The sequence below is a fragment of the Homo sapiens genome, chromosome 3 (genome assembly GCF_000001405.40).
Source record: "Homo sapiens chromosome 3, GRCh38.p14 Primary Assembly".
Lineage (NCBI taxonomy): Eukaryota > Metazoa > Chordata > Mammalia > Primates > Hominidae > Homo > Homo sapiens.
In genome coordinates, this window is record NC_000003.12 from 150,258,930 (window position 1) to 150,286,365 (window position 27,436).

The following is a 27,436-nucleotide window of genomic DNA, read 5'->3' on the forward strand; positions in this document are numbered from 1 at the left end:
AGGCTCAGATGATCCTCCCACCTCAGCCTTCCCCAGTAGCTGGGACTACAGGCACATGCTACCATGTCTGGCTAATTTTTGTGGGGTTTGCTTGTTGGTTGTAGAGACAGGGTTTTGCAATGTTGCTCATTCTGGGAAATGTCTACTTAATTTAAGTTGCTTGTATGTTGAGTTTTCTATCTCTTACAGCTTAACCTCATCTTTACTGATTCAAGAAGTTATCCCCACTAGTAAAATTACAGATGCTTTTTATTTCCTTCTTTATAATTTTCTGTATTTCCTAAGTTTTCTACAATGAATATATATACATATATATATATATATATATATATATATATATATATATATATATATTTGTAAATTGGCAAAAAAACAACGGTTTCTTTTTTTAGGTAAGTAAGGGAGAGGCTGGAGGACAAGGCCTGAATTGACACAGACTGAAAGGCACTTTGATGCCCTTTGTAGTATAAAAGAGCTTTGGACTTGAAGTATTTTTCTTCAGTCCCACATTGACTTGCCTTTGAATGGCTTTCACCTTCTGCCATGCAAGTTTCCTCATCTTTTGTTCCTGTAAAGATTTGGTGCAGGAAATAGAAAAGGGTTTAGGTATCTCGAGTAGAAGGGAATTTAATACAGGGAATGGGGTGCTGCAAAATTGTTGGAAGAGCCGTAGAAATGCATGTGAAGAGGTCCTATTAGACTTACAGATCATGCTGATGCTAGGTTATAAGGTTATAACCCTGAAGCTATGAACCAGAGGTCAGGAAATCATTGTCAACACGCATAGGTCAAGAAACTGCTGCCAGTTTCACAGTTGCTTCACATTCATGAAGCTGGTCACTATAGGGTGATTGTGAAGTCTGTCCACTACAAAATGCATTTCTGCCAGGGCTTACCACTGCCATAGAAATAAAAACGGGCTCCACCAGCATTTCACTTTCCAAATCTCATGGGAAGGATCTTATTTCCTGGACTTCACCTCAAACCCTGGCAGCAAGGGAGCCTGAGAAATGTAGTTGTTAGCCTTCCAGCCCCTATGACACAAGAGTGTGTAGAAGGGGGTAGATGTGAACAGTGAGTGCCAAAAGAGCATGTCTGGCTTATCTCTAAGCTGTCAGACATTCTCAATACCTTTTTTGATGGCTCTCCTGCTTATGTATTTTTCTATAGCCAATTAAAAACTATTGTTGTACAGTTATTATGTGCTAACACTGTGTTAGGCACTTCAGAATGTACAGAATGATAGCATGGTTTGGATCACCTGACACCTCATCCACTCAAAAAACTTATGTTTAATGTCTATCAGGTACTCAGAAAACCATCAATAGCTCCTCGTTATCTATCAAACAAAGTCCAAGGGCCTTAATTTAAACCTAACAGACTCTCCATGTTTTCATGACCTCAACTCATGTTTTAAACCTTATCTCTCATTTCTCTGCTTATTGAGCTCTTGTGGACCAGGAAAACTGGATGATTTTCTCTTCTTTATACATGAGCCTCTTTTCTGCCATCAGCACTTTAGTTACAATGTTTTTCCTCCCCAGAATGTCCTTCTTTCCATCTCCCTATGGTAAAGTGCTGCTGGCCCCTTAATGTCCAGCTCACATGTCACATCCACTGTGAAGCCTTTCCTGACGCAGGACAGCTGGAGATACTCCTTTCTTCCCAGAATCTTGGGAACTTGTTTTAATCTCCTGTGTGAGATTTAGAACGGTCTATCCTCAATTACGGTTTTTTGTTGTTTTTTTTTTGTATAAACATTATTTCTTCCAAAGTAGACCCTGGTCCACAGAGGAAAGGAAATTATTTCTTATTTATTTTTGATCCCCCACATAGTGCCATGGTGCTTATTGAATGAATAAATGTAAAACCAGAGGACAGGCTTTGCTCTCAAATAATTTATAATCTAATAGCAAAAATATAAAAAGCACCAATCACTCTATGAATAGTATCTAAAATTCTTTGTCCAGAATTTCACACTTCCCAGATAACTGACATCCCAGTTCTTAATTCTTTAATTTTCTGTGAGAATAAATAAGCTTTTTTGTTATTGCCACATGTCAATCATCTTTCATTTCCTGTTATTCTTTCAATTAAGTGTAATTTGTGTCATGTAATTTTCCATTTGCTACTAAACCACCAATAAGATGAAAATGTCTCCTTATGTCTATAGCAATAAAAACAATTCTCAAAGTGTGTTTCTGTGTTTCTAATGTAAACCAACAATTAGTGCAAACGATGTAGCTTGAGTATAAATGATGAAGAACATATTCACAGATGTATTTAAAAATTTCACATAGGGAAACTCCATTCACCAACTCTCTTCATTTATTAACACCTCCAACTATAAAGGAAGTCATAAACCTTAGTTCTTTGTAACCAAGCAAATACCTTAAACATAGAATTGGACATAAAAGCATTATAATTAAATTGTACCTTTTTCTTCCAAACATAGAATTACCCTTTATTAAAACAACAGTGTTTATAAATGTTCTGGTTTCCTTTCTCAGATATGTTTTCTATGTTCCTCCAGTTCAACTAGTACATAGCTTCTTCAAGGGAAGGCACATATGTTTCTTCCCTTGAGCTTGAGCTTTTAACCTCTAGTGTCTAGTCCATCACACCAAGTATTCTGGTCTTCAAGCAGTGAAAGTTTAAGTAATGCTTGATATTAGGTTGGTGCAAAAGTAATTGCGTTTTTTGGCCCATATTTTGATGTCAAATAATTAGTACTGAAAATAGAATGAAATAAGTTGTCATTGATTTCTTTGTTCAAAGTTGTCCCTCCAAATATTACCTAAGCAACTACTATTCGCTGTTCAATAAAAGGATTTTTTTTCTAAATATTTCTAAATTTAGACCCAAGTCTGTTATGTAAAAGATAACATGATCAGGGGCTACAAAATGAGTAGGCTGATAGCCAGCAAACTACATAAATATGGGCTGTAAATACCATCATAGAGATAAAGACAAACTCTAAGGGAAGATAGTGGAAAGAATAATTACCTCTTCTTGGGGCTCACCTCCACCAGTCTAACCACCAGTGATCATTTGTCTAACAGGCACATGTCTTGGTTATGCTTCTGAATTTTTATAAGGAGTGCTTAACCCTACTCTCTCCCTGGTTGGTTGTCAAAGCCTATGTATCTGTCCTTATCAACAATGCAGGCTTTTGTGCTCCAGGTAAGATTGTGTTAGAGATTACAGCCTTTAACTCCCTGTGGTCCCATTCTTATTCAATGTCCAGCTGTGAGAAATAATATTTATGGAAAGTGGTTCAAGGGCATTGCTGTTCATACATGACTCTAGATAAGCTAAATGTTACTGTTGGATTAAACTAGATCATAACAAGGCTTTGTACTTGAATACGTTGTTTTGATTTCCCGTAGACCTGCCTTCTCCCAATTTGTGCCTTGGTCTAAGCCATCAGCCTACAGAGAGAACCATGAAACTCCATGATACATGATAGAACTCACTGCTATATTTACTGTATAGATTGACATTAGGGTATGGTCTGATGTATCACACAGTATCTTCATTTGATGACACCCAGGAATGAGGTTGCTCAATATCAGGAAAAACTGTTCATATCCTTTGTAAAAGATACTAACCTAATGCCATCCCCAAGACCCTCCTTTGCCCTCCTTGCTCTAAAAAGGCCAAAATGGCAGACACTAATTTAGCAGTCTCTCTTGTAGACAGGGTGTTCATATGATCCAGTTCTGGCCATGAAACATAAAAGGAAGTCTACAAGGGGGCTTTTAAGGTGGCAATTGCTTCCTGATGAAAGCTACAGATGGAGAAGAGCTCTCTAGTCTTCTCCCTGCCTTGGTCATGGATATGATGCCACAAGTTAGCAGTTCACTTGAGACAATGAAGTTACAAGTATGACGGAAACCAACATCCTAAGGATAGCAGAGATGACAGATAGAAAAAACCCACATCATTGATAATATGACTGAATTATCTCTGGGCTTCTTGCTATGTTAGAAAAAAATCCTAACAATGCCCGTAAGCCACTCCTAGTTAGGTGTTCTGTTACTTGCAACCTAATGTATCCTAACCAATAATCTAACAACCAGATTAGTTTTTATTTTATGGATTGTTATTAGTCTTGCAATTAAGCCTACTTCATCTTAACTTTAGCCACCAGGAAGTTACAAAATTGTACCCTATGTCTACCATGACACTATAAGTTCTGCTAGTTCAACTTCCTCAATCCTAAACATGGGTTGATGTTTATTTTCCTAAAATATTTATTTTGTTTTTTTGTATTATATGTACTTTTATATGTCAAAATTTTTCTAGAGGATGGCAAGGTGTAAATAAACTTATAAACAAACCCCCCAAAATTTAACTCCACTGGAGGATTGAGAAAGTAGTTGGTTTATTAAAGTTTCACAGGAGGATGACATCTGGGTCCCACTCTTTAGTCCAATTCACGAATTCAAACCATTCCTAAGGTTTTAACTGAAGTGAATTTGTATGTAGTTTAAACAGTGGCCTATTAAAAATTATGCATCTATTAAATTCAGCACTTACTATAGGATCTTAAACTAGGGGGCCCACAATTGAACTTGAGGAAATCTATAAACTCCATGACGTAAGCAAAATTTTTATTTTACACACAAATGTGTAGTTTCCTGGGTGAAGCTCTGAGGCTTTCATCAGATTCACAAAGAAGTCTATTATCCCAAAAAAGTTATGACCTACTGGGCTAAGTTACATTTGCCTTTTTTGAGTCCCTGTCTCCCAAATCACCATTTTATTCATCTGGGTTTTTGCTTTCTGTCAAGACCCTAAGGTCTATCAGAAGGCTGATGCCTGCATCATTCTGAGAGTGCACATTCAATAAATGTTAGTTGACTTGTATTGATATTTAATTATTTACAGTGCTTTTGGTGTCTTTTGGAATAGCAGTGTCTGGTTGATCATTCTAAAGGCTCTGAATCCTCAGTTGCATCCCAGTGGGCTTAGTGTGTTGTAAACACACAAATCAAAGTAGTGTGAGGGAGGAGAAAAATCATTCCTTTCTAGGATAATGCATTTTTCATGAGAAACAGGTCATTACAGAACCAACCATTGCACCCATGCGTGCTCTCATTCTACCTCTTCATCTCTTCTCTCTTTTCGTATTATCTCACCTCCTCCCCCTTCCCTCACTGTGTTCCCCTTCCACTTTATTATCCTGTATTTGATTATTTTACCATCTCCTTCTTTAGTATATTTTAATGACTTCTACATAATATACGTCTTTGAACTACTTTCCTGTGTCTTTGAACTACCTGACTCTCTGTTCCCTTTTTCCTTATGTGGCACCTGTCTCTTCTTCAGCTGCTGTACATGATACTTTCATGCTCCAAATTGATCCATTGCATATTTTCACAAATTTCAAATTCCTGACACATAAAAAGACAATATTCATACCCTGTTTTACCATGATATTTTGGTTCTCCCTGAAGATTTAATTTTATTGCAATTTTAATCTTTTTCCTATTCCCTTTCACATCTGAATATAGACCCAATAATTCACTTGTACCAATTTTCTAGTTATGCGAATTCTGTGGAAATTTCCACCCAGTTGATACATGTGAAGTGATCAATTCATCACATTTCATAGTTCAACTTTCTCTTCCCTGGTTAAAATTAAAAGTGGGTTTAAGTAAGCCAGAGATTTTTGAAGAAGATTTCTGTCATGAGAGGGATGACTCTATGGGGAAAAAGTCTTGGTGAAAATTTCACATGTCTGTTGAGAGTTGAGGTTTTTTGTTTTTTTTTTAATAGCAGCTAAGTTACAATTTTTACCAACATTTTATTACACGCAGAGAGTAAACATCTGGAAATCATCCTGGGTAATCAGTGTGAATTTTTGTGGTGAAATAGAGGCTTATATTATATGCTAGAGTTTAGTGATTATAGTCTTAATGATCTGTACATTATTCATAAAATGCTTTGTTTTAAATCTGTCTTTAAAAAATAATTAGAATTCAAGTTATTTGCGAAACAGGAATCCTGCCACTTTATTTTTTACTTTACATACATCTCCCTGGGACAGTCTGGTTGTTGGAGAAGGGAGTTTAGTATTGGTTTGTTTTTGGTGTGTTTGCTTTTCTTCTTTAACTCGTTATTTATGAAATTTAAGAAGCAGTACGGATCCTAAGTCAGGCAAGTAAGCTAGAAAACAATCAAACTCGAAAATTACCCAGGCATGAAATCCCCTTGAACTAAGGAATGCTTTCAACGTTAAGTTCTCCATAAGCTTGAACTATAAATGATAACATTTCAAAAATACTTTTTAAAGGAAGATTCATATTAGGAAACTTGATCATCTAAAATTAGACAAACCTATCTTCTCTTACTATCCTAAAATAATAGCCTACACCCTTACCCAATATGATCTAAAAATAACAGATTGTATATCACCCCTAAAGTAACTTGGCTTGGGCCCAAGAACTAATACATACATGACACTCAGAATTGCATCCAAAAAAAGAAATGGCATTTTATTTCTTGTGAGTTCTCACAGCACAGTAAGCCTCCATGGCACTATAATCCTAATTAATGTTCATCTTCTTCACTGTGTTCAAGTGTGAAAAATGCAAAGCAGCAACACTCTTCACCGGAAATCAGGCTCCCAAGAGCCTGCAGTTTCAGAAGGTGGGTCTCAAACTCGATTTTAAGTCTTCCACTCTAATAGGGATTATGTGTCTTCATTCTGAAAGCTGATAACCTGAGGAATTAAAGAGCTGACATGGGAAAGGAAAACCAATGCAAGGAAAATGCTAGTTTTTATGTTATTTTATTTTTTCACTTAATATGAAGGAGTCATATGGATATAGGCCAAATAATGCTAGAAGTAGAAGAATACTAGGAATTACAACAGTAAAGAGTGGGGTGAAGGCAAGGAGGAGATGAAGATGGAGAGAATAACAAAAAGAGAAAAACAGCAGCTCAAAGGGGAAAGGCAACAGGGCTGCATCCTGACTTTTGTGGGCTTCTTCCTCCACAAAAAAATATTAAATTTCTATTTTACTACTGCATTGGAATGAAGATCAATACACTTATATTATGTATAAAAATATTTTCTTCAACCTGAAAGTTCATCTTTTTCTTCTGATTTTGAAAGAAATAAAAACATTTTTGTGTGCTCCTAAAAGTTCTGTGGGCCTAAGCACTGGGCCCACTGTGTCTAATGGTTAAGTCATCCCTGGCAGATAGAAAGAGAGGGAGGGAGGAGGAATGTTCTGCTTGGAAATGACGGGCGAATTAAAGCAAGCAAAAGAAAAATTAAATAAGCACATAGGTGGAAGTGTATTTTCATCATTAGATATAAATTATATATTAAATTATTTATAATCATGCCAGGTAACCTTTATTGAATACTATGTGCTAAGCACATTACATTATCTCACTCATTCCACACAATAACCTTGAAATTAAGCAGAAGATGTACCTTGATGTTTTAGGGCCTCTTGGGTCATAGGCTAGAATTCAGAATTGAATGCAATCACAAACGTAAGGTGCACAGAACTCCGTTCTCAACCTACTTTTCCCAGGCAGTCTCTGTAACATCCCTGGCTTTAGCAGTCACCCATTGGCTGGTGACTACTAAATATATAGCTCCAGCTGTTTCTGTTAGGATATTTTCAATTGTCAATAACAAGACCCTTATCCAAATGATACAGGTGGCCAGTAAGCCATCAAGGCTAACCCCAGTATCCTCGGAATCACCCTATTTCACCTGCTCATCACTCCTTACTTGAATTATTGCAATACCATCCTACAAGACCTCCTTACCTCAAGTCCCCTTTGACCCGTGTCCCCATTGCTACCAGAAGTATGCTTCCAGGTCGCCTAATGAGGGAAGAGAAAAGCATGTCACTATTTTATGTAACTTCCTGTAGTAGCTCCCCTTTAGCTTCTGGATATGGTCCAAGTATGTTTTTATTCGGCAAATACTTATTGGGATCTCCATGTCAGATTTGGGTTTGGTGATATGGATGAAAGATGAACTAAATAGATGGGGTCCCTGCCTTCATGGGCATGTACATTCTAGGGGACTCTAGAGGGAGTGGATGAGAGTACCTAGAGTGAAGTCCTGATCCAGAGAACAGAGCCACTAACCTGTTTTTAAGGAAAATCAGTTTCATGAGCTTGGAGGGGAAGGAGCTGCTAAAGAATCAAATAGTGATGTTCCCAGTGCTCTTCAGTGTTCTCAGAATTCCTTGAACCTTATTAAATTGCTCACCATAGTGTCTTCATAACTGTTAATGTCCCAGCCTTTCCCCTGGGAAAGCTAAACTTTTTTTCCTAATGCCTAAAACTTCTGTGCACATTATTTCATTTCATTTTTCTGCTTATTTATACCCTGCCTTGGTCCTCCTCCAGCCCCCACAAGAAAATATCTGGGATTTGGGATTGCTTGACCCATAGTAGAAACTCAAAAATGACTGAACACCTTGACAAGTGAAAAAACTGAGACCCAGAAAAGTTAAACTGTTGCCCAAGGCCAACCAAATAAATTTCCTCTGAAAGCCACATAAGGTTGGAAGGCTTATCATGAAAGGTAAGTTCCGCATCATAGGCAGTGTCTGACAACAGAGTAGATGCTATGGGTCATAGATCATCCTGAGGTCCTCGTGGCCCTGTTCAAGCTGTGATTCTGCAAAGCACAGAGCAGGTTGGCAATTTACAATCCCTTGCAGAACTTCCTAACTTTAAATAAATTTTACAGCAATTTTATCTAAGTTCAAAATTTTAAATATTTTAGAGAATTTTTGGATAATGCCTACAAATCTTTTAAAGAAGTTTAATAGGTTCTAGACAAATATACATTTTAATGAGAACCCAAAATTATATTTAGCTATATAATATAATTTAGCCTTTTAGAAAATCAGTATGCTATAATAAAAGCATAACGCATTTTGTTCTTTTATTCATTGATTGATTTTTCTCTCACCTTAGACCTAGAAACACATTTTGTCCAGGAAAGCAGTTTCAAGTGAGTGAGTTACGTTGAATGCTCTGAAAGAATAATGCAACTTCTGGAAATCCCATGGTATCAGCCAAAGTTGTCAATGAATCAAAAATCAACTTTGAGGAATGTTTTGGTATGTAGATGCTTCTAATGAATATGCTGAAATCATGTGAAACAGCCCTCATCAGCATCAACAAATATTTGTTAGGCTTATCATGTGGATGGATTAATGAGGATATGAAAGCCTTAAGTGTCCAAAACTGACATTGCCTCAGGATGCCCTCTTGGGTTCTTAAGCCTAGTTTTTATTTAACTAGAGTCCTCAGCTTTTTATTGGACATTGTACCTTCAAATTATAATAAAATTAATTGTAAAAATATTATTATTCTTATTTCAATTGTGCAACCCAAATTTCTGGAATATACCTGGCATAGAGCAGGGTGAAATCATACTTAGAAAAAAACAAACCAAAACTTTGAAGACATTTTGGTAGGATTTATCCCTCCTGAAAATCTGTTGGTCTATTCCATGACATCTGCTGACCAGTGTTGCATATGTTCAATTCTATGGTTTAATCAGTTATTTTTTAACTTAACACTAAGCATTTTCCTGCCTCTCTAGAAAAGCCAGAGAGGAATCCAATCTTCTGTAAGCTCTAGAAACGCGTTAATATTTTTCTTATACCACCTAGTCAAATATCTTTTTTCCCAGACAGGTTCTGCTTTGTGGAAATGAGCTGCAAAGACCTGCCAATTCAACTCTCAATGATAAACAAAGCCTACTTGTCTTAAAATTTTGTCAAGGCAGAATTTTACCTGTCAATTTCATTTCAAATTGTACAGACTGCCCTATGTTTGCAGGAAAAAACCCAGCTTGTTAACAGTAGGACCCAAATACTAAACTTACAAAGGTAGTCCAAGAGGAAGCACCCACGACAAACAGAAACTTCCAAAACCTAACACAATGTGGACATGCACATCACACTCAGATCTTTGCCTTCACTAAAAAAAGTAAACAGTGTGATGACATCATTCACAGCCAATTAAAGCACAGCCCCATGGCAAAGGAAGTGCTGGGAGATCCTTCTGCAAGTAAGCATAAGAGTGAACATGCAATATGTTTGATAAGCTGTCCTAGTACATGTCCAGGGGCTCTAAGCTGTATTTACAAAATAGCATTTGTTGCTGCTTCAAAAACAGCTGAGGGTGGCCAGCAATATATCACATTCCACAAGAGGAGCAATTGCGGTGATGGACACAGGATGACCAGGAACAACCTTTGTTCGTCGTTCCATCACATGGTTCAATAATAAATATTACTACTCATCCAGTGTACACATAGGATGTGGTGAGGCAAAACCCTCTCCCAGAGGTCAGAGTTCACTCCCTTTTCCAGGCAGATCCCTTAATCAAATTTATTGTCTTTACTTTGGGGAAACACAATTTTCCCATCAAGTAGAAGGCAATCTTGGAACAGCAGATTGGGGCCTATTTATTACAGTCGCTTTCAAGTTCTCCTTTTTTTCTTCTGAGTCCCAAACAGTTCATGGTCCCCTGGTCTTGATTAAACCAGTCTTGTATTTTGAAGTTTTGCTTTCTCTCTTATCTAGCCTCCCCTAAGTTCCAAATGATCTCACTTTGTAGTTTCATTGGCTAGAGATACCACAAAAGTCCGAAGTCACTGATAATGTACTTGGAGGCACAGGCCCATTTTATGAGATTCTATCGTTTTGGTTCTTCATGAGAACACAGTCTTCTTTCAACACAGGGTTGTAGATCCATTACTAGGTGTTAGCAGAATTATAAAATAGTATTGTGCAATACACAATATAATCAATTTAACACAAAATATTGTATTATTTTAAAAACACAATATACTGTGGTTTTGACTTTTTTCTTTAGAAAAATAAAATAGCCCCTTTTTTTTTTTTTAGAAATTCAAAGTATATAGAAAACATCACACTCTATGCCTTCGTATGCAGAAAAACCATAAAGAAAGAAAACTGGCCTGGCATGGTGGCTCATGCCTGTAATCCCTACACTTTGGGAGGCCAAGGTCGGCAGATCACCTGAGGTTGGGAGTTCAAGACCAGCCTGACCAACATGGAGAAACCCCATCTCTACTAAAGACACAAAATTAGCCAGGTGTGGTGGTGCATGCCTGTAATCCCAGCTAGTTGAGAGACCAAGGCAGAAGAATCACTTGAACAGAGGTTGCCCCAAGCTGAGATTGTGCCATTGCACTCCAGCCTGGGCAACAAGAGCAAAACTCCACCTCAAAAAAAAAAAAAAAAAAAGAAGAGAACTGATAGAAAGAACTGGCACTCAAATGCCTACCTTTGACTTAACAACAACAACAAAAAAACAAACAGACAACATTTGACACAGAGTACATCCTCTGAACATCTTTACTAACTAGCAATAAACTTATTTTATAAATACTGCCTCACTGAGGACCAAGTCTGAGCCAACTTAGATACCTTCACTATGAATGATGCCTTTCTAAGAAGGACTACAAAGATCAGAGAAAGGCCAGTCCTCGTCTGGGTAGTCTGGTGTCTGAAGCAAGAATTTTTCTTCGTGCCTAACCCATGGCTCTAGTCAAGTACCTCACACTTGTTCTGATCCTCCTACTTGGAGGAAAATATTTATCATTAGAACTCACTGGACATCTGTATTCTTTTGATGATATGGTTTGGCTGTGTCCCCACCCAAATCTCATGTTGAATTCCCACGTGTGTGGGAGGGACCTGAAGAGAAGTAATTGAATCATGGGGGCAGGTCTTTCCCATGCTGTTCTTGTAATAGTGAGTAAGTCTCATGAGATCTGATGGTTTTAAAAAGAGGAGTTCCCCTGCACAAGCTCTCTCTTGTCTGCTGCCTCCCAGGTAAGATGTGACTTGCTTCTCCTTGCCTTCTGCCATGATTGTGAGGCCTTCCCAGCCATGTGGAACTGTAAGTTCATTAATCCTTTTTTCCTATATTAATTACCCAGTCTTAGGTATGTCTTTATCATCAGCGTGAAAATGGACTAATACACTTGATATATTTAAAATTCCTCCTCTTTCAATAAAAAGCTGTCTCAGGGACAATGGCATGTAATAAAGTCTACACCTACCACACTCCGAAAATCCAGGCTTCTTCTTGACCAGAAGTCACTCAACAGGCTGAGCAGTTTCAAAGATCAGTGAGGGTTGGGCATGGACAATTCCATTTTACCTCTACCTTAGTCCTCAAGCTAACTATCACTGTTTACTTAACTTTACTTGCCTACATCTCTCCAGTCTCTGGGACATCTTCCTACTTTACTGATATTCTTCTTTTCTCTGGAATGTAGAGATTGTATCTCAGACCCCCAACCATACATGCTATTACAGTCAGGACCAACAAGAAAATGCTGGGATTCCCAAGTCCAACTCCCTCCCCTTGTGTTTTCCCCCACTAGGATAACCACTCTGAGGCCCTTGTAAATTTGCCCAGTGGATTTTTATTTCGGTCCTAAAGTTCAGAGTTTAATGGCGGGAAGTTAAGGAAGTGTGGGGCTTTTCTCAACCTTCAAACCCTATGGCCCCCAATAAAAAGGATTCCAGATAGCTTTCAATCTTTTCCATTTGTACTCTCAGTCCAAGAAGAGATTTTATCTGAGCATCATAAAAATCATGCCAAACAAGCCCTTCTCTGTTTTGGTCAGTTCAAATCAGTTAGTGATTTTTGCACTTTCTAATATTTAAAGGACTATTGAAAGAGTGTCCTAACTTTTCTTTTGACACTGTTAAGAGAGTTTTTTTGGAACAATTCCAGAAAAGATTCCAAGTTGGGGCTGGAGGAAAAGAGCCAAAGGCATAATATGGTTTGTATTTAAAGTTTCTCCATATCAGATGAGATTATTGTGTAGAAAGTTCCTTTTTCCTATGTATATTTTTAAGCTACATTTTGCCTGCTGAAATGTAGCCAGTAGAATTATTGAAGCCCCAAACTTCTTTCTGAAAAGTAGCAGGAAATGCACTTCTTAGAGAGAAATGACATTTCTGAAGTGGAAGAATTGGTGGAAATTAAGTTCCTCAGAGGCAAATTTTTTCTCCCAAAGTTGGTGGCCCGGGCTCTGGTGAGCCCCAGGCCTAGCCTTTGGTAAACTGAGAAATTGTCAAGCTGAGCTTGGGTGCAACCTCCTGCACATCCACACTGGCACACACAGCACTAAACACTTGAGGTCTTTGTCTGACCAATGCCAAGAAACCCCCAGAGAGTACCCTACTGGACTTCTCTCTTCTCTGTGAAAATGTCCTCTTAGGAGGTTATCCTATTGTGAATAAAGAAAATAGGGTCAAATTACAGAATGTTGAGTGCCACTGGAGGCAACGATTTTTAAAAAAATCTTGAAAATCATCCAGTAGGGTTATTTCCAGAACTGTTAATTTTTAATATTTTAGCTGAAAATCCCTTTCTTCAAAAAAAAAGTTTCAAAAAGGCGTAAGGTATAAATAAGTGAACCAAGAGCTACTGGTTACAGCTCCTTTTCTTTCCAGAGGGAGAGCCTGGAAATCCCCAGATATTTAAAAAGCCATTACTGTAATCCAGTCCCTTCAATTCACAGATGACAAACTTGAGCCCAAAAGTGAATCAACTTGTCCAACATTACCAAATGAAACAATGACAAAAGTCAAAAGCTCCTCAAGGGTATGTCTTTACTGTCACTGGACCTGACACAGGCCCTCAAAAGCCCTGTAATAAATGCTAATTACCTGAATTCAACAATTTATGCTATGGTGTTAATGACTGATACAATCTTTAAACATTACCCCTCTTAGGGGTGTTTGCTTTCATTTAAACAGGATTCAGTTCCTTAGATCAAAGAAGGAATATCTAACAGCAAATATGTAGATGTTGTCAATAGGCTTGTTGGTACAGGAGAAAATTGAGGGTAGTATAACAGAACCTCCAGAAACAGACTCTCTGTCATTTGACAATAATACACAATTACATAATTCAATTGTGTGCATGTTGGGTGAGGGACAGGAGAGGAAGGGGATAAAAGCAATATCTGTCATTTTCATAAAAGTACCTAAAATAAGAAAACCTAAATCAAATCATATTGACTGGTGCAGTATGCTGAAGTTTGAATGAGAACACATTGAGAGTTGATCCTGCATTAATTCCGGTCGGAGCACGTCTGTTAGCTACTTCTGATGTCATCATGCGTGTGTGTAATTTACACTGCTCTGTGTCTTACCATGAGCAGAATGTTTTCTGTTTTAGGATGAGTATAAGTTTTATTTTAACTTAAAGTTTGCCTTGATAAAACAAAAATAGGGCTTTTAGGCCCTATTGAGTATGATAATAGGAGCTTTTAGGCTTTCAAAATGTATTTGTTTCTTCCTCTATTTCTTCTAGCCCATCAGATGAATACATCATGATTACAGAAATAAGTGGATTATTAAAGTAAATTTGTTTAGATTGGGTAATAGGTTCCATTAAATGGCACCAGGTATTATGCTGTGAGCCAATGTGTAAATGAAAAATAAAGAGTAATTCCATTTGTCAGAGATCTAAAAAGCTTGACACCCTGGAAAAAACAGCTACACCACCCATCACCACTATCAGCTTCATTCATTGCTCAACCAGCCAGACCAGACACTTTCCCACAGTACGCCTCATGATTACATTATTATTATTATTTTGGAGGTTAGTTGATGATGACAGGAGAAAAAAAAAAGGAACTCACATCAATTATGGTTTCACATTTACTGCAAAGGAAGAGGTTCTATTTTCCAATATGCTGCAAATCCCAACAGTCCAAAGTGACACTGTAACTGTCATTTTGACAGACACATGAGTCAAAATCACAAATATCTAATTTAAAACGCTATGGAGTTGCTTATTTTTCTGCAAGGCATAAATGTTGGCAACACATGAAACTGAATAATACTGAATTCATTAGGAATTCACAAGGGTGGTGAAAGTTTTCTATCTTGAAGTTAGGAGTAAAAAAACACCAAACCACTTTACATTCCGCATTCTGTCAAAACTATACTTGATGAGAAAATTGAGAGGAGATTCCAAAATATTTCCTTATCCAATTCTACCACCAAATGGCAAACATCTGATTTTGCCATCAATCAAATCATTGCCCTTTTCAGCCATTTTGGTGACTCCATCAAAGGATATTCAGCTCAACTGTTTGCGCATGTGCAATTGTGACTCAAGATGGTACGGAGGAAGAAATCCTGCTTTCTTACCTCTCAGAGACTATCATTAAGGATTACAATGTCTTTAAATTTGCCCAAAAGAGCAGAAATGATTAGAATACTCATGGAAGGTTCTCTAACAGTCAGAATTCTTGTGGAAAATAAAATAACAAAAGTTACCTGTTGTTGCCAAGTGTCAGCTTCCACATATGGCCTGGGCATCTACAGAAAGACCTCAGTCTTGCTCTCAGAACACCAGATTGTCTGCCTTGCATTGTGAAGATCTGCACGCTTATCACATAGTTCTAGCCTTTGTTGAGCTCTAGGTTTGTTGAGAAATCTTGTGGGCTACATTCAAGAATTGAGAGATACAGCTGCTCTATTTTGGAATACAGAGAAAGGACTAGGAATCATTCTTCAAAATATTTAATAACTAATACGGCACAGGCACAGACAAGTCAAGACTGACACTGGCACAAATAATAGGTATCACTGCATTGGAGCATACTTACTGAGTACCAATTATTTCACCCTTCAAAAATAACAATGAGATCACAACATAGGTATCAACATAGAAAGATGTCCAAGTTATAGCCCAGTGAGGAAACAAATTTGTGTAACACGAGGTATAACATGGTCCAATTTATAAATGTTTAGAGAAATCTGATGAGACTTACAGATTACCCCCACAGGATTCTGGCAAATAGGTATAGAACCTCAGGCAAAGAGATCTCCTGAGAGTCTTATTCCTGAGTTCTAGTCCTAAATCTACCATGTTGCTTAACCCTTACATGCCTCGGGTTCTATGAAATCAAGGAGTTAAACTAGAAAATCTTTACGCTATTCCAGTTCTCATTTGCTATGAGTATAAGAGCAATTCTTTCTTAGGTCACTTTTGTGAAAGAAAGGTTTAAAAAACCTACTTCGAAGATTATTGCAAGGCTTAAAAAGAGCAGGTTTGTGAATATGCATTGTAAACTGTGAATATAGTATAATAACAATAATAATCCATAGCTTGAAAAAGCTATGTACTACATAAATTGTAGCCTGTACTACAATTTATTAGTTGTTCATACTAGTTCTTCTTAACTTCAGCTCACTTGGGGATATTATGTACACAAATTCTTCATCAAAAAGCCCAGAGCCTTATGTTTAAGGTTACTTTAGGGGCTAAACCATATCATATATCAGCCTCAGGGGTAAAAAAAAAAAAAATCTGTTGCAGCAAAGTTGACTTCATTAAACTTCTGAAAAGTGAATCCTATTTTCCCACTGATGACCTTGATAAAATCAGAATCACGTCTCCTAGAAAATATTTCAGTGGATTAGGTTGCAAACTCATTTTTCTATTTAAAGAATTATAGAAGTTAGCTAAATATCTTTGAGGGGTCTCTGTCAACTAAAATAGCCTGTGGTTCTGATTCTGTTTTAGGATTCAGTCCAGGAGTTACCATTTCTCAAACTGGGATGCCAGTGGGTGTGTCCCGCTCAGATTTTCATGGGGTCTTAGGAATGTGTCTCCCCTCTTGATGTCAATCTGGTAAAGCGGGGTTTACTCTGAATCTGTTTCTTTTTTAACTGTATGGCCACCAAGGACAGAAATAGAATTTGGACTGATGTCACTGAAGGAACAATTCAACGTAAAAAACTTTCTAACAACCAGAGCTCTCTAATAAAGAAGTAGCCAGTAATCAAAGGAACTGAGTTACTGTGGCAGGAGAAAAGAAACAGGGGAGCTCACTGCTTATTGGGGATAAGCATCCATTTTAGGATATTTTTGCTCATCTTTTATCTCTTCTAATTGTAGGCGCCCTGAGGACAGCTTTTTACATTTTGTTGCTTTCTGCATCTCTGGACATATTGTGGATGTTTAATAATTATATTTTTAATGATTGAAGGAATAACACAGAAGGGAATCCTGCATTTATTGAGCAGGGCGTTGGAATGCAAAACTTTAAGATACTTTAACTGTGAAATTCTTGGAAGCATTCATCATCCTGTGGAAAGCTAAATTCAATGGTAAGTGTGCAATGTGTTAGTAAGTATTTTGCAATTTTTAAGAACATTTTTCTATCTCCAGATTGTTGTCAGTTCCTTCTTGCAGTTCTCTATTTAGAAGATTTTCTTTCTTATCTAAGGCTCCAACGTTATACTAGAGCCCCCAGAACTGAGAAATCACTATTCTTCTCATTGCAAAATGTCTAGTATTTAAAAGAGCTATGCTGCCAAATCGTCTTTTACCAGCATAAGCCACATGCTAATTGCAAAAATATCTGATTCTGAAAAATTTGAAGTTTTACATTATGACAAATAAAACATAAATTTGATAACTTCTGGATTCTACCAGACTTGTTTGTTTCAAATAAAATATACTTGAATTTCATATTATTCTCGAGTACAATCAGCACCCTGATTTGTTTATGTTTGTGATTTTGACTCATACTCTGAGTCTCAATTCTTTTGTAGGCGGTAAAATCAATTTAATGGATTAGAACCCAGAATTTAAAAAAATAATAATACAGTGAAATGGAAAAATATCAGAATGCATCATGCCTACTAAGAAGAAGTATTTTTTTGTTGGGTTTTTTTTTTTTTTTTTTGAGATGGAGTTTCATTCTTGTTGCCCAGGCTGGAGTGCAATGGCGCGATCTCAGCTCACTGCAACCTCCGCCTCCTGGGTTCAAGGGATTCTCCTGCCTCAGCCTCCCAAGTAGCTGGGATTACAGGCATATGCCACCTCGCCCGGCTAATTTTTGTATTTTTAGTAGAGATTGCGTTTCTCCATGTTGGTCAGGCTGGTTTTGAACTCCCGACAGGTGATCTGCCCACCTTGGCCTCCCAAAGTGCTGGGATTGCGGGCATCAGCCACCTCACCCAGCCGGAAAAGTATTTTTTAAATGAAACTTCCATTTCAGTAATTTAGATTTACATGTTTGCATATGTGTGTTGTGATATCAAATGTATTTCTTACAGTAGATCATGAGCAAAGAAAAGTTCTGAGACCCTTTAAAATAATATCTGCGGTATGTCAATAGTATTATGTATAAATAATATTCACAGTATATCACTATCCAATTTTTTCAGGAAATCATTTTGATAGATAATCCAGCTCATACATGTGAAATTACTCAGTTCAAAATTTCTCATTAGCACTAAGGGGAACAGATGACCCAGTTCTCAAGTTTCATGCACTTAGGTTAACTGGAATTAAAATAAGTGGGGGATGCTCTTTATTTTACATCATCCACAGAGGAACTGAAGGTCAAGTGCTTCGCAACTCAAGGGTCCAGACATATATGCCCCTGCTTCCTTCCCCAGGGTCAGTGCACAGGCATTGTTCCTTTCCTGGAGTTATCTTTGTTGTCTTCCTTCCACCTTTATAGCCCACTATTATTACTGTCTCCTTTACTGTTTTTTTTGTTTTGTTTTGTTTTATTTTAGCACTTGGCAAATATGTGAGGCAAAGTTTATAGGAGTTAAATATTTCTAAGAATATTGCTCTTAAAAGGTTTGTTAGAAAGGAGTCCTTTCTTCTACCCTCCTTACTTTCCTCCCCTTCCCCCCTCTTTTCTCCACTCTCCCAAGACCACAAGATAAGTGTTCAAAGCCACTTTTGTTCTACAAAGTGGTCTCTGTCTCCTTTAGAAAGGGAAAGTTTCTATGTATGGTGGCAGTGGTTGGAATAAGTCAAAATGAAAAAGGTTAAGAGAATGTAAACATTTTTAAATTGCCTTTTTCAATTTTCTTTTAGTAGCTTTAAATAGCTATAAATAATATACACTTCATACACAGAGTAAAGTTAATTCTTATAAATATTCTTTCAGGAGAAATAAAACGTTAGATGCATTTCACTTGGTAATATATTTTCCATTTACTGATTCTTTTCTAAAAGACTCCCCCTGCCCCCAATTTCTGTCTTATCAGTAGAGTGCATAGAGAATATTTGACTTGAAGCTGAATCTGTTTTCTCAATTTTTTGAGTGACTATTCTCTAAAGAAAGTATTATTAAAAGCAGACTTCCCCCAAATTGACTTTAACAGCAATTATTTTCTTTGAATATGAGAAGGATATTTTGATTTCCCAAATGCACGTTAACTGAATTTTTGAACTGGATCTTTTATGGCTGAGTTTTCTCTATTTTTTTCTGTAACAGAAACATTACATTACATTGTCTCCCTGAGAACCCTAAAGCTGGAGGTTCCATGGTATGTGTCTTGCATAAAATAAAACAGCAGATGACAGCAAATTCATTTTCCTACTCTGCCATAGCTCCTATGGCTCACTAACTTTTGAACTGTGGCTGTGCTGAGTGAATTTTCTTGTCAGGCCCTGTAAAACTGCTTTACAGAGAGAGCAAAAGCAACTTGAGTTTTCTCAAAGGGACCTGTGATAATGGACAAGTCACACTGCTTTTCTGGGCATCAGTAACTTCTACTGTATAAATAAGAACTTTCAGATAGAATAATCTCCAGGGTTTGTTTTTTTGTCTTTCTAGCAATAAAAAAGTATTGACTCTGTTAACCAATATTTAATCATTTTAAGTCAAACAAAACAAATTTTTACATCATTGTAGTGTTACAAATGTATTTGGTTTCTTTTATACTGCTTAGAGATAACTTCTTAAATATATATTGGATTTCAGTATTCTATATATAAATTTGAGCATTTCTTAATGGGGGAAAAAGATTAAAACTCATATTGGCTCAATTATACTGGAGCAGGGTGAGAACATCTCACCAGGCAAGAGCAAAGACAGCCCCGAATGTCTCCTCCCCTTTGTTGAAATATTACCAGCAAAACCCAAGTGATCAAAAAAGACTCACAAATTATATGGCAGTCCATGCCCATAAAACATGATACAATTCGGTCAAGGTACACTAGGTCAGTTGCTAAGAACCTCGTGTTTCTTCTAGTAGTTACGTAAACAGTTAGATGTGTTTGCTTTTTTTTTTTTTTTTCAAAGACTAAGGAAAAGGGAAAATTGCCAACACAATTACCAAAATAATTAATTAAAAGCCAGCCCAGTCCGCAACAGCTGCTTTCAGTTGTCCGGAGTGTGCCCTGAGGCAACAGCACCTTACAGCTCCTTTCTCAGGCAAGGAATGCTGCCATTATCTCGTTCTCAATGGAAAACCACCTCCCCTGCCACATCCCTGTAAATTGTTGAACCTAAAGGGCTTTTTTCTCCACCCAGAAAAGAAGGTAATGGAAACTAAAGTAGGCTGTTCAACCATAAGCCTTGGGAAGCTTCCAAAAGCTTTCATTCCTGTCCAGAAGCTTCTAAAGAGGAGGCCTACGATTAGGGAGATAAGCAATACTATCAAATTTTTGGAGCCTGGAAATGCTTTCCCCAACCCCATTTTTCTTTTAAGTAAGGGACCCAGAATGAGAAATAAATATTTGGGAAAGACACAGGAACTACATTTCCATCTTATAAATCCTTTTTTTAACTTTACGTGTTGAAAAGTTTTAGATATATATAAAAGTAGAGGATAATATAATGCACCCCCATGTATGAATCATTCAACTTCAACAGTGATGAACTTGTAGCCCATCTTGTTCGTTGTTTTGAAGCTAATCCCAGATATCACATTATTTTAGAGGTTTTACAGATTTTTTTTTATTTGTTTGTTTTTTGTGACAGGGTCTTGTTCTGTCACTCAGGCTGCACTGCAGTGGAAAGATCACAGCTCACTGCAGACTTGACCTCCAGGCTCAGGTGATCCTCCTACTTTAGCCTCCTGCATAGGTGGGACTACAAGAATATGCCACCATACCCAGCTAATTTAAAAAAAAATTTTTTGTAGAGAGACGGTCTTGCTATATTGCCCAGGGTGGTCTCAAACTCCTGGGCTCAAGTGATCCTCCTGGCTTGGCATCAAAGTGCTGGGATTACAGGCATGAACCATCACGCCTGGCCTAGAGATACTTTTGTTAACATAAAATTGTCTTCCACTTTTCAGAGGTCAGGAAATCCAAATGCAGGAAGAAAAATGAAAACTTCAGCTAAAATCATTACAGTGGTTAAGGTAAGTTATATAAACTTCTTATACTCTAAGTGGACTTTTCATTTTAGCCTCAAAATTGACACTTGTCAATCATGAGTCAACAAATATTTATTGAATGTCCCTTAAGTGCCAGACTCTGTCACCACATAGCCTAAAAATAGATCAATGGGGGGTCTATTTTTTAAGTCTTTCTAGCGACAAAAAACTTTTGATTCTGTTAACTAATATTTAATCATTTTAAATCAAATCCAATTTTCACATTGATAGGGACAGGAGACAGGAAAATTCTGGGCAGAAGAGGGCAGGTCCCCAGCGAGGGCTTCACCTTCAAGCCTGGAACTATGGCCCAAAGTGAGAATGTACATCCCTGTTTTCCCGCTTGAATGTTGCCTTTTCCAAAACCACCCATGGCCTCCCCTGCCCCCATCCTGTGCCCATAAAAACCCCAGGATCAGCCAGCAGAGAGAGGAGAAGAGGAGATGCAGCTGGATGTCAGAAACTACCGTTGGAGAGAAGCAGCTTGACTTCAGAGGGACAGGTTGATGGCACAGCTTTGGAGAGGGGTTTGGCCATCCCCAGCCAGACTCCAGAGAAAGATTACCTTCTCCTAATCCGTCCCCTTTGCAGCTCCCCTTCCTGCTGAGAGCCACCTTCATCGGCAATAAAATCCCCCACATTGACCATCCTTCTAATTCATGTATGCAACATTCTTCCTGGATGCCAGAAAAGAACTCAGGTGTGGGTGCAAAAGGCTGTCACACTGACCCTCTACTGAGCTGTTAACACTTAAGCTGTCCATGGATGGCAAAGCTAAAAGAGCACCGACTATAACACTCCTTCTGGGGCTTCAGGGGTCATGGGCACCCTCAAGACACTGCCACAGGACCGGCACAAAGTTTGTTTCTGCTGGCACCCCAAAACGCCCACCCCAGCTCGTGCACCTCCTCACCTGCATGCCCCCTTCAGCAAGGGGTTAAGCACTGTGGGTTTGAGTGAGTAGAGCTTGCCCCTGCCGGTGCTGAAGCAGCTGACTAGTTCCAGTGCCTGCACTCCAGTTCCTGCCCACAGAGGGGTCAGGGAAATTTCCTGCTTCAACATCACTGTAGTGCTACAAATGTACTAGGTTTATTAATAGTGCCCCACAAATTAAAAATAAAGTTATGGCTGTTTTTCTATTTTTTTAAAAAAGTCCAGTGGCCCTGATATATGAATACACAGTTATTTTTCTAGGAACAGACATAAAAATTGGGAATGCATATGCATTCCTAGAGAAACAAATTTTTGTTGTCACAAAGTAAACAAGCTTATATTATTTGTTAGAGCTCAGAAACAAAATGATAACCTTATAAAACATTTAAAAAAGAACTAACACCAATTCTACTGAAACTACTCTGCATAATAGAAGACAGAATACTTCCAAATTCATTCTATGAGCCAGTATTACCCTGATACCAAACCAGACAAAGACACATCAAAAAAAGAAAAGAAAAACACAGGCCAAATCCCTGATGAACATTGATGCAAAAATCCTCAACAAAATACTAGCAAACTGAATTCAACAACACATTAAAAAGATCATTCATCATGACTAAATTGAATTTATCCCAGGGATGCAAGGATGGTTCAACTTACACAAATTAATGAAGATGATACATCATATCAACAGAATGAAAGACAAAAATTACATGATCATTTCAATTGATACTGAAAAAGCATTTGATAAAATTTAATATCTTTTCATGATTAATAAAACCTTCAAAAAATTGGTATAAAGGAATATACTTCAACCCAATAAAAGCCAAATAGGACAGACCCACAGCTAGTATCATATTGAATGAAGGAAAACTGAAAACTTTTCCTCTAGGATCTGCAACATGACAAGGATGCCTACTTTCACCACTGTTATTCAGCATAGTACCAGAAGTCCTAAATGGAGCAATCAAACGAGAAAGATATAAAGGGCATCTAAATTGGAAAGGAAGAAGTCAAATTATTCTTGTTTGCAGATGATATAATCTTATATTTGGAAAAACCTAAAGACTCCACACACACACACAAAAACTATTCAAACTGATAAGTTTGGTAAAGTTTCAGGATAAAAAAATCGACATACAAAAATTAGTAGCATTTCTATATGCCAACAGCAAACAATCTGAAAAAAATTTAAGAAAGTAACCACATTTACAATAACTACAAAAAATAACTGAGAATTAGCTTCACCAAAGAAGTGAAAGATCTCTACAGTGAAAACTATAAAACACTGATAAAAGAAGTTGAAGAGAATACACAAAAAATGAAAAGATATTTCATGTTCATAGATTGCAAGAATCAATATTATTAAAATGTCCATATATCCAAAGCATTCTGCAGATTCAATGCAGCCTCTATCAAAATAGCAATGACATTCTTCACAGAAATAGAAAAAAATAATCCTAACATTTATATGCAACCACAAAAGACCCAGAATAGCCAAAGCTATCCTGAGCAAAACAAACAAAACTGGAGCAATCATAGTACCTGACTTTAAATAATACTACAGAGCTATGGAAACCAAAACAGCATGGTACTGACTGGCACAAAAACAGACACATAGACCAATGGATCAGAACAGAGAATCCAGAAACAAATTTATACACCTACAGTGAACTCATTTTTGACAAAGGTGCCAAGAACATACACTGGGGAAAGGACAGTCTCTCCAAAAAGCAGTGCTGGGAAAACTGAATATCCAGATGCAGAAACTAGACCCCTATCTCTCACAATATACATAAATCAAATTAAAATGGATTACAGACTTACATATAAGACCTAAAACTATGAAACTACTGAAAAAAAAAAAGAACATTGGAGAAACTCTCCTGGACATTGGACTGGACAAAGATTTCTTGAGTAATGCCCCATGAGCACAGGCAACCAAAGCAAAAATGGGCAAATGGAATCGCATCAAGCTAAAAAGCTTCTGCACAGCAAAGGAAACAATCAACAAAGTGAACAGACAACCCATAGCATGGGAGAAAATATTTGCAAGCTACCCATCTGACAAAGGATTAACACCCAGAATATATAGGGAGCTCAAACAACTCTATAGGGAAAAAAATCCAATAATCCTATTCTAAAATGGGCAAAAGATCTGAATAGACATTTCTCAAAAGAAGACATACAAATGACAAACAGATATATGAATTGGTGCTCAACATCATTGATCAACAGAGAAATGCAAATCAAAACTACAATGAGATATCATCTCACCTAAGTTAAAATGGCTTATATCCAAAGATAGGCAATAACAAATGCTGGCAAGGACGTGGAGAAAAGGCAACCCTTGTACACTGTTGGTAGGAATGTAAATTAGTACAATCACCGTGGAGAACAGTTTGGAGTTTCCTCAAAAAACTAAAAATAGAGCTACGATATGATCCAGCAATCCCACTGCTAGGTATATACCCAAAAGAAAGGAGATCAGTATATTGAAAAGATGTCTGCATTTCTACGTTTGTTGCAGCACTGTTTACAATACCTAAAATTTGAAAGCAACCTAAGCATCCATCAACAAATGAATGGATAAAGAAAATGTACATATACACAATGGAGTACTATTCAGCCGTAAAAAAGAATAATATCCTGTCATTTGCAACAACACGGATGGAACTGGAGGTCATTATGTTAAGTGAAATAAGCCAGGCACAGAAAGACAAACTTTTGCCTGTTCTCACTTATCTGTGGGATTTAAAAATAAAAACAATTGAACTCATGGAGATAGTAGAATGATGGTTACCAGAGACTGAAAAGGATAGTTTGGCAGTGGGGGTGAGGGGTAAGTGGGGATGGTTAATGGGTACAAAAATATAATTAGATAGAAGGAATAAAATTTAGTATTTGATAGCATGACAGAGTGACTACTATCAACAATAATTTATTGTACATTTAAAAATAACTAAAAGACTATAATTGGACTGTTTGAAACACAAAGAAGAATAAATGCTTGAGATGATGGATATCCTATTTACCCGGATGTGATTATTATGCATTGTATGTCTATATCAAAATATTTCATGTACACTATAACTATATAGATGTACGATGTACTCACAAAAATTTAAAACAAAACAAACAAATAAACATGAATTCAGTTTATTAGAATTCCCAAACATGAATAGAAGATCTAAGATAACTCTTTTTGCCATCCTGAGGAATTTGGTAAGGTTTTCTGGTAGATTTTCTACATAGAAAAAAATACGCTTTGAAGGAAAACAAGAGCCTTTATGACTTTAATAGAACAACCCTTTCCCAGAGTCTCTCAGAGGCTAACATAATCCTGTACACACAGATTAACCTGTGCCTATATTCCTGAAAAGACTGCAGTAAAGGCAAATTCAGGCCTCATTATAGGGTCATTTTACATTTCAAACTGCAGTTTTCTTTTTCTTTTTTTTTTTTTTGAGATGGAGTTTTGCTCTTGTTGCCCAGACTGGAGTGCAATGGTGCGATCTCGGCTCACCTCAACCTCTGCCTCCCGGGTTCAAGCAATTCTCCTGCCTCAACCTCCCAAGTAGCTGGGATTACAGCACGTGCCACCACGCCTGGCTAATATTGTATTTTTTAGTAGAGATGGGATTTCTCCATGTTGGTCAGGCTTGTCTCGAACTCTTGACCTCAGGTGATTCGCCCGCCTCTGCCTCCCAAAGCACTGGGATTACAGGCATGAGCCACCATGCCTGGCCTGCAGTTTTCTTTATAATCGAAAAGTCCATCTTTACAAACTAGCAGTAAGGCTCAAAAAACAACAACAACAACAACAATACCACACACATACACACCCCAAAATTATTGCTTAACAACAAACATCCTGATATCTACAGTTATTTTTCTTCCCTTTACTTAAAATTCTATTTTCTGACCAGTTGAAGAGTCCTCCTGTCCTAACTTGGTTCATTAAAAATATCAGTTTCTTTCCATGGCCTCCAAAATTTTTTTTTAATTTGAAAAATTTTTACCTCATTTCTGAAAGGACTGTCTCCTGAAAACATTCCCACTTCTGAGTGCTTCCTATTTTAGGAGAACAAAAGTTCCAGCTTTCAGTATCCTTAGAGCACACCACTCTCTGCCTCAGATGGACCCAAATTCTCACAAAAACAAAAGAGAGACATGGGATGAGACAACGAATTCTCACTTGGCCTCACTGCCAGACTTGTATACAATCCTCTCTGATGTCTTCTAGATCTTGGGCAGCTTGAACACTTTCTTTATTGTATATATTTAAGATGTACAGCACAATGTTTTGATATACACACATACAATAAAGTGATTACTATAGTCAAGTAAACTAACATATCTATCCTCTCACATACTTACTTTTGTGTGTGTGGTAAAAGCACCTAAAAATCTCTCTTAGCAAATTTCCAGTTTGTAATATTTTTAGCTGTCTTCCTCACGTTATTCATTAGATCTCTACACCAATTCATCCTATATAACTGCAACTTTGTCCCCTTTAACCTACATCTGCCCATTTCCCCCATCCTCCCACCCCAATCGCCATTATACTCTCCATTTCTATTTATTCAGTGTTTGAAAAGATTTCGTATATAAGTGAGATCATGCAGTATTTTTCTTCCTGTGGTCTGGTTTCCTCAAATGTCTTCAACACAAACTGTATATTTGCTAAATAATGCTTTGTGGTCCTGAGTCAAATATTATTAAAACTTGATATGTTGGGAATTCCAAGCCAAGAGGAGAAATACTTCTAGACCTCTCCACAAGCTGGTATGTCTTCAAATGGAATAAAAAATGTAAGTAAAAACTTATTTGAGGTCTATATGGAATGTATGATTTTCTTTGGAAAATAATCATTCAGACAATTACTTATGAAGAAATCTCTTCAATGCCATCTTTGCTAGTAACTGCTGGGCTATTTTCCATTCCCACCTCCAATATTAACATACCATGACATACAATTCTATAGAGCCAAAAAGATATTCAAAAGACCCCAAATAAAAGAACTTGAAAGTCAAAAGGGGACCAATTCTTACAGAATATTTTGATAATAAATGTAATTCCAGACACACAGACTCTTTAGGGACTTAAAGTCCTAAATCTCTAAGATTATAAATGAGAAAACTGCAACCTGAGATATTATGCCAATTGTCTAAAGTTTTTAGTGGCAAGAACCACTTATTTATTTCAACAAACATTTACTGAACATCTACTCTATAGCTGGCAAAAGAAGACATTTTGGAATAAAGAAATGCAAGACACAGTTCCTGCCCCCA

General features: G+C 37.3%; 2 long non-coding RNA genes across 2 annotated transcripts in view; one reads left to right on the forward strand and one right to left on the reverse strand.

Moving 5' to 3' along the window:
* Positions 1-6,477: 6,477 nt before the first annotated feature.
* LINC01214 (long intergenic non-protein coding RNA 1214) overlaps positions 6,478-27,436 on the reverse strand; it is a 58,341-nt gene continuing 37,382 nt past the window's right edge. The window contains exons 3-4 of the long non-coding RNA NR_110186.1: positions 7,798-7,854; positions 6,478-6,730 (exon numbers count right to left, since the gene is read on the reverse strand). This is a non-coding gene — a long non-coding RNA (long intergenic non-protein coding RNA 1214). The remainder of the gene's footprint in view (positions 6,731-7,797; positions 7,855-27,436) is intronic.
* LOC105374154 (uncharacterized) lies at positions 16,262-22,386 on the forward strand. The gene is made up of 3 exons (XR_924578.3): positions 16,262-17,180; positions 21,126-21,191; positions 21,438-22,386. It is a non-coding gene; the product is annotated as an uncharacterized LOC105374154 (long non-coding RNA).